This window comes from Homo sapiens, chromosome 22, assembly GCF_000001405.40.
Source record: "Homo sapiens chromosome 22, GRCh38.p14 Primary Assembly".
Classification (NCBI taxonomy): domain Eukaryota; kingdom Metazoa; phylum Chordata; class Mammalia; order Primates; family Hominidae; genus Homo; species Homo sapiens.
Genome location: NC_000022.11, coordinates 43,915,038 through 43,923,617, shown reverse-complemented (window position 1 = coordinate 43,923,617; position 8,580 = coordinate 43,915,038). Strand labels below are relative to the sequence as shown.

General features: G+C 51.2%; 1 annotated feature.

Annotated features, from left to right (window-relative positions):
• Positions 1,415 to 1,915: an enhancer, noted in NCBI's record as "H3K4me1 hESC enhancer chr22:44317583-44318083 (GRCh37/hg19 assembly coordinates)". NCBI's record gives its function as "activates a minimal SCP1, AML or CMV promoter by ChIP-STARR-seq in naive H9 embryonic stem cells {active_cell/tissue: H9 hESC(naive)}" and the evidence as "EXISTENCE:reporter gene assay evidence [ECO:0000049][PMID:30033119]".

The following is an 8,580-nucleotide window of genomic DNA, read 5'->3' as shown; positions in this document are numbered from 1 at the left end:
GGGGATTGGGGGCGGGGGCTGGGAGGGCGATGGCGGAGGACCTGTGCGGGGGGGTCCAGCCTGGGAGCTCCCCGCAGCGACTCGAGAGAAAGCATTTTTCCAAAACTCCAGCAGACACTGCATGTCCTGGAGAGAAACGGCTTCCTTCTGTTTTCCTTGACATCTGTTAAGTCGGGGGGTGGGAGGGGAGTCGCAGTTGGTGCCCACTTGATCCTTAACATCACTTTAACACTTTATCACGTCCCTTTTGACCCGGGGAGAGCCAGCCTAAAGCAGGCACCACCACCTGAAGAGTCTACTCTCTGCGTTGTTGCAGGCTTTCTGTATGATTGCCTTCAAGTGCTGGGGATTTTTTTCATTGAATGAAAGTAACAGGAAGTGTCCATTTCAAAGTTTCCTTTGTAAGTAAAAAATGTGAATGACGGGTGCTGGGGCTGGGGTCGGGGCCCTGTAGGAACTGGGGAGTGGGGAGTGCTTTGGGAAGCTGAGGCCTGGATGATTCCTGGTCCCTTAGTCCCTTAGTCCGTTCAGGTGCGAAAACAAAACACCTTAAAGCGGAGGGGCTTACAAACAAGAGATTTATTTCTATCTTTTTCCCCCCAGGCTGGAGTGCAATGGCACGATCTTGGCCCACTGCAGCCTCTTCCTCCCGGGTTCAAGGGATTCTCCTGCCTCAGCCTCACGAGTAGCTGGGATTACAAGCATGCGCCACCATGCCTGACTAATTTTTTGTATTTTTAGTAGAGATGGGGTTTCACCATGTTGGCCAGGCTAGTCTAGAACTCCTGACCTCAAGTCATCACCCACCTCAGCCTCCCAAAATGCTGGGATTACAGGGGTGAGCCACTTCGCCTGGCTTATTTCTCTGTCTCACAGTTCTGGAGGCTGGAAAGCCCAAGTTCAAGATACCAGCAGATTTGGTCCCTGGTGAGAGGTATGGCTCGTAGAAGGTGCCATCTTGCCACATCCTCACCTCTGGGCCTCTTTGATAAGGGCACCAATCCCATTCATAAGGGTGCCACCCTCTCATCAAATCACCTTCCAAAGGCCCCCGCCTCCAAAGATCATCACCTTAAGGTGTAGGATTTCAACAGATGACCTTTAGTGGGGACACAAACATTTGGATAGTAGCATGCCCTTAGGAGATGCCTAAGAGGCCCCTTGACCTTGACCTACCCCTGGCACTGGGTGGAGCAAGCCCACAGCAGTACATGGAGCCAAGTTAGACCTTGGTCCAGAGCTCCTCACTGGAGGACCCTGGTCTGCCGGGCCATAGCGCCCCCAGCTGGAGTGGACCAGGAAGCCCTCCCCCTTCTCCGTGAGACCTGGAGGAATGCAGAGTATGTGAGCTTTGGGGTCAGGCCTCTGCCCTCTTTGTGGCTCAGTGTCCTCAACTGCAGAATGACTGGTGGTGTTGTAAAACAGGTGACATTGCTGTCAGGATTCCAAATGTCACCTGAGAAGCACCTGGATTGGTTGGGTGGTTCATGTTCAACTGAGCTTCCCCATTCTGCTGCAGTCCTTGCTTTTGCCTTGCCTGGAGGGGTAGGGGAGCTGGGAGCAGGGCTGCCTCCTTTCTCTGGGCAGGAATCCCAGGGCATGGGAGCTTCAGGCCTTAGTGAATACCTGGGCTGACTGCCTCATCACATAGACACTTTGTAGATGGAGGCCCAGAGCAAGGCAGGGTCAGGTCCTAAGTCCCGGGGAAGGTCAGGAGAGCTGAGAAGCAGACAGGGGGTCCCATCTATTCCTGACGTGTTGGCTTTGCTGGAGAGGGGCATTACCTACAGTCCTGCCCTAACTGCCCTCCACCCCCACCTCACGCTCAGGGCTGCGGCGGAACTGAGGCTTCTGGAGGGGACAGCTGGGGTCAGAACCTCTAGCCTCCTGTACCCATCCATCCCTCCTGCATTGCATGACCAGTCTTAGGACTAATGACAGGAGGGCCAGGCTCTGGCACAGGAATTTGAGGCTGTGACCGAAGGCCCGAGATGAGTCACCCTGCCACCAGCCACAGGCATTCATATTCTCTTCCTGTCCACCGGCATTCATTCTTGGCCAGCCACACTGGACATCTGTCATCCCCAGTGTGACCCAGATGTGGGCAGGACAGGAGCAGGGCTGAGGACTCACCCCCTCTTCGTCACTGCATGTAGACAGCAGCTGGGGGCCCTCCCCACTTTCCAGAGACAAAGAGAGGACCCAGCTGGGCAAGGGTTTCATGGTCCAGCTCTCTCAGCCCCCCATCCAGCCTCCAGTGGGACAGGCACATGATATCATGGTTGAGACTGCAAGCTTTGGCATCAGACAGCCAGTGCACAAGACTCGCAAGCATCATTTCATCTCTCAGAGCTTCACTTTTTATATCTGTACCATGGGGGAGAAAACAGTTGTGTGAGGGGCATTGTGAAGTTAAATGTGATGAACAGAAAGCACCCAGCCCAGTGCCTGGCAGTACTGCCCTTATCCCTGATCCCATCTCTCTCTCTCTCTCTCTCAGTCCCTGTCTCTGTGTCTCCCACTCTCACTGCTACGCATAGCCCCATCTGCAACTGGGATCCAGCTCTTGGCTGCCAGCACAGAGTTATAAACATTTCTTATCTTGAACTCAGTGTTCAGGCCCCAGGGAGACTTCTTTGTATCTCTTGAACAATTCTCTCAAAAGAGAAGTTACTGCCTTGCCCATGGTACAAAGAGTTGTGGCTGTGCCCTGCTCACATCAGACACAGACACTACTTGGAAGAATGGAGAGGACTGGTGGCTGAGGCACTTGGGAAGGAGGAAAAGTGAATTCATGTGTCAAAACATCATCAGATGGCATGGATGCTTGCATAAGGAAGTGCTATTTTCCAGGAGTCGTAAATGTTCATTTCCTTGCGGTCTTCAAATTTCAGTTCCCAGTACTTGTGATATGATGTGGGACTGATTGGCAACGTCTATAAGTGAACGCTAAGGACCACTTTCCTTTTTTTTTTTTTTTTAGATGGAGTCTCACTGTCACCCAGGCTGGAGTACAGTGGTGCGATCTCAGCTCACTGCAACCCCCATCTCTTGGGTTCAAGTGATTCTCCTGCCTCAGCCTCCCCAGTAGCTGGGATTACAGGCATGTGCCACCATGTCTGGCTAATTTTGTATTTTTAGTAGAGATGGGGTTTCACCACGTTGGCCAGGCTGGTCTCGAACCCCTGACCTCAGGTGATCTGCCCGCCTCAGCCTCCCAAAGTGATAGGATTACAGGCGTGAGCCACCTCGCCTGTCCAGGACCACTTTTCAATATCAGACTTTGGGAGACCCTGTCTCAGATAAAAACAAAAAGTCCATGCATTAGAGAAGCTCCTTAGGCATGAGTTCTAGTGCTGTTTGCTGTGGGTTCAAGGTTAATGAATCAACAATATACAGGTTATCCGCTGGGCGGAGTGGCTCACGCCTGGAATTCCAGCGTTTTGGGAGGCCAAGGTGGGTGGATCACCTGAGGCCAGGAGTTCGAGACCAGCCTGGCCAACATGGTGAAACCCCATCTCTACAAAATAACAAAAAATGGCTGGGCATGATGCCCGTAATCCCAGCTACTTGGGAGGCTGGGGTGAGAGAACCACTTGAACCCGGGAAGTGGAGTTTGCAGTGAGCAGAGATCCCACCATTGTACTCCAGCCTGGGCGACAGAGTTACACTCTGTCTCAAAACAAAAAAAAAAAACAAGTTATCGATTACGGTGTCTTTAACCAGGAACACACATAAAACAAGGTTATGTATCGATCATTTGTCAAAAATGTGCCCAGAGCCTGGATGGAACCTAACCCCATCCGTCCCCTAGGAGCAATGACTCAGTCTTGGCTGATCCAGTGTATGTGGAGACTTTATAAATGTAACCACCATGAATCACAAGAATTGATGGTACGTCACCCCAACATTCACGAAGGGGAGCAAGGAGGTGCTCGAACTCCAGTGTCTATTTCCTCTCTAAAGCTGGAAATACAGATCGTTGCCACCCCTGACCATGCCAGCTCTGTGTGGGCACACTGCGTCCAGACAGTGTCAGCCTGACCTCTTCTCCCTACACCACTGGGAAAATGAAAGCTGGCATCCCTCACCCAGTTACCAAACCCAGCACCATGAGGACTGACTCTGTGGGAGGTCTCAGCTTCTCTGCCAACCTGCCAGACACCTTGATCTGTTCACAGAGACATTTCTGTCAATGAGAGAACTGGCTAATTCCAGCCATGGGCAAAAACGGGATAGGAACCAGATTCAGGGTGGGGGACAGAACATACGTGAGAGCAGCCCTTTGCCTGCTGCTGTCCTCCTCCCAGTGCCCCAGGCTGCATCTGGACCTTCCACGTCCACACACCTGGCCCGACATTTCCCAACCCACGCTGGCAGCAACAGGTAGGGAACACTGATGGGCCCAGTGCCAGCCTTGCCTCACCTCTGCGCCTCCATCCTTGGCCCAGTGTCCTGGCTCTGGTTGCAGTGCTCTCTTTTTTCCTTTTAAAGTTCTGGTAAAATATACATGACATAAAATTTGCCATTTTAACCATTTTAAACGTATAGTTCAGTTGCATTAAGTACATTCACGTCATGTGCAAACATCACCAGCATCCATCCCTGCAACTTTCTTATCTTTCCAAACTGCAACAACCCCCGTTAAACACTAACTCCCCATGCCCCTTCCCCCAGCCCCTGGAAACCACCATCCTGTCTCTATGAATCTGACTACTCTAGGGGCTCCCTGTGAGTGGAATCATACAGTATTTGTCCTTTTGTGTCTGGCTTATTTCACGGAGCATCATGTCCTCGAGGTTCACCCATGTTGTAGCAGGGGTCAGAATTTCCTTCCTTTTTAGGGCTGAATAATATTCCGCTGTATGTATGGACCCTGTTGGGTCTATCCATTCATGTGGTTCCTTCTCGCATTTGTGAACAAACTCCCCTCCAGCTCCATCCAGGCCTCAGGTCCCCACCCATCAGCACTAGTCCTTCTGGCTGGGATGCTTCTCAGGTTGGCTCTGTCCCCAGAATAAAACCCAGGGAGTTCCCTGTCTTACACACCTTCCCTCCAACTGTCCTGGTTCTGGGGGAAGAGAATTGCTCACATTAGCAGTGCTGGGAAAGTGTAGAGTCTTGGGTGACCCGAAGGGCTTATTTACCGGTCATGGTGAAGTCAGATGGACACTCCCTGACACACGCCAGAGGCCACATTGCTGGGGCCCAGCATCCTCCTGTCTGTCAATGATGATGGGTTCTCCTCTGCCCAGGCAGCATGGTCCCCAGTAGGCACTGCCTTTTTCATCCCCCCTCAGGATACTCCACACAGACGTTGTCCTTTAGCTAGCCCGGGTGATGGAGTCAGTGCTGGCCAAGGCCTGGGCTCCATGCCTTCTGCCCATCATGTGACGAGGGCCATCTCTAGGTCCAGAGCATCTATGGCCACAGAGCCGGGTTTAGCAGCCACAGTGGCTGTGCCTGCCAAGCACTTCTGCTGAGCCCTTCCCACTGTTTAATAGAGCCTGCTGCCCCTGGCTGTCTTCCTGGATGTGCTGTGGCCACGACCAGGTTAACACATCCGAACCAAACTCAGTATTTTACAACCCCCCTGACAACTTACCCCTCCTTTTTCTGGAATATGTGGAGCCTCCCTATCCCCACTTTAGCAGCTTTGCTCAGAAGTCTTGGGTCTGTGAGTTCACCAGAGTGGAGAGATGGGTTTGGGGGAAGAGGGACAAGGCAGGAGGCTGTGGAGATAGCCTCCATGGGACCAGCAAGTCTTCACAGGGGGAAAGGCCCTACAGGGGCCATGTTGGGGCTGTAAGTTCCTCTGGATATCTCCTGAGCAGAGTGGATCATGGAGCCAAGGAAACAGGGTCAGCAGGGCAGCTGACCACAGGGCCAAACACGGCAGGAAGCTGGAAGTCTCTCTGACACCCGCTGAAGCCCAGTAGTGCTGGGCATGTGGATGACTGAGAGGGGAGAGGGAGACCATCAATTTCCTTTTTTTTTTTTTTTTTTTTGAGAAGGAATCTTGTTCTGTCGCCCAGGCTGGAGTGCAGTGGTACGATCTCGGCTCAATGCAACCTCTGCCCCACCGGGTTCAAGCAATTCTCCTGTCTCAGCCTCGCAAGTAGCTGGGATTACAGGCGTGCACCACCACACCTGGCTAGTTTTTGTATTTTTTGTAGAGATGGGGTTTCACTGTGTTGACCAGGCTGGTCTCAAACTCCTGATCTGCCTGCCTCCTTGGCCTCCCAGAGAGCTGAGATTACAGACCACCACACCCAGCTAGAAGAGCATCACTTTCTTTCTCCAACCTTCAACTCTCCCATTTTCCCCATCTCAGTGACCCCTCCCCATGTCCTTAAGCCAGTAACCTAAGCACCCTGTTTGGTCCACCTCATTCTCTCCCACCCAACATCCAGCCTGCCTTCAGGCCCTGGTGACCACCCTCCTAAAGACCCTCCAAACATTTGCTTCTCTCCACCTCCTCTGCTGCTATCCTCATCTGGATCGGGCCTCCAGGAATTTTGCTCCTGGACCCCCAAAAACTCTGGAAAAAAACACTGTATTCCCTTATGCATTTTAAAATCAATATTATAGGGGAGCAGGCCAGGCGCAGTGGCTCATGCCTATCATCCCAGCACTTTGAGAAGTCAAGGTGGGTGGATTGCTTGAGGTCAGGAGTTTGAAACCAGCCTGGCCAACATGGTGAAACCCATTCTCTACTAAAAATACAAGAATTAGCTGGGCATCGTGGCGTGCGCCTGCAGTCCCAGCTACTGGGGAGGCTGAGACAGGAGAATGGCTTGAACTCAGGAGGCAGAGGTTGCAGTGAGCTGAGATTATGCCACTGCACTCCAGCCTGGGTGACAGAGTGAGACTCCATCTCAAAAAAATTAAATAAATAAATATAAAAAACTTTCATTGGCAGGGTGTGGTGGCTCATGCCTGTAATCCCAGCACTTTGGGAGGCCCAAGTGGGTGAATCACTTGAGGTCAGGAGTTTGAGACCAGTCTGGCCAAGAAGGTGAAACCCCATCTCTACTACAAACACAAAAATTAGACAGATATGGTGGCACACACCTGTAATCCTAGCTACTTGGGAGGTTGAGGCAGGAGGATCACTTGAACCTGGGAGGCAGAGGTTGCAGTGAGCCGAGATCGCGCCACTGCATTCCAGCCTGGGCTACAGAGTGAGACTCCATCTCAAAAAAAAAAAAAAAATGGTGGGGGGAGGAAAAAGATAATTTTCTTCTAGCCATCTGTCTTTTTCCATTTTGTGCTGCTATAATTTATAAAGAATTGCATAATTTGTAAAGAACAAAAATATATTTCTCACAGTCTGGATGCTGGAAAGTCCAGGATCAAGGCACTAGCATCTGGTGTCTGGTGAGGGCCTTCTTGCTGCGCCCTCACACGGATCAAGGCGCCAGCATCTGGTGTCTGGTGAGGGCCCTCTTGCTGCGCCCTCACATGGATCAAGGCACCAGAATCTGGTGTCTGGTGAGGGCCCTCTTGCTGTGCCCTCACACGGATCAAGGCGCCAGCATCTGGTGTCTGGTGAGGGCCCTCTTGCTGTGTCCTCACACGGATCAAGGCACCAGCATCTGGTGTCTGGTGAGGGCCCACTTGCTGTGTCCTCACACTGCAGAAGATGGAAGGGGGAAGGGGGAGTGGGAGGAACGCTGTGTCCTCACACAGTGGAAGATTGAAAGTGAGCAAACCACTCCCTCGACCTCTTTTTATAGCAACACTAATCCATCCTTGAGGCTCCACCCTCAAGACCTAAACACCCCCATTAGGCCCCACCTCCCAATACCATTGCATTGGGGATTGAGTTTCCACATGAGTTTTGGAGGGACTAAAACCATTCAAACAATAGCACCATCTTAGGTTCCTTGGCTGGGGCCCTGTAGTTTGGACTGATGAAATTTAGATTCACAAGATAAAAACATACCAGTTTATTTACTATAAGTTTTCCATGACTCAGAGACTCTGGAGTCTAGCTCTGTTGCCCAGGCTGGAATGCAGTGGCGCAATCTCGGCTCACTGCAAGCTCCGCCTCCCGGGTTCATGCTTATAACTTAATTTTTATAAGGCAAATGCTAAGAAGCCACCCACATAAATAAAAGAGTGGGAATGAGAGTTTGTCATAGCAGGGTCACTCATTTATCCAAAAATGACATAGAAATCTGTCTAGAAAAATTATTATGATTATGATTTATTTATTTATTTAGACAAGATCTCACTCTGTTGCCCAGACTGGACTGCAGCACTGCTATCTCAGTTCATGTCAACCTCAACCTCCTGGGCTCAAGTGATCCTCCTACCCCAGCATCCCAAGTAGCTGGGACCACAGGTGTGTGCCACCATCCCTGACTACTTTTTAAATATTTTGTAGAGACAGGATCTTGCCATGTTGCCCAGGCTGGTCTTGAACTCCTGGGCTCAAGTGATACTCAAATGGCCAGATTTTTAATGATTTATCAGCTGCAAACTTATTTAGGGTCTCATTCAGCTTTGTGGAAGGTGAAGCATTAGAAGTCCCTTAAGTTGCAAAAGGATTTGTTATTCAGGCAACAGAGTCCA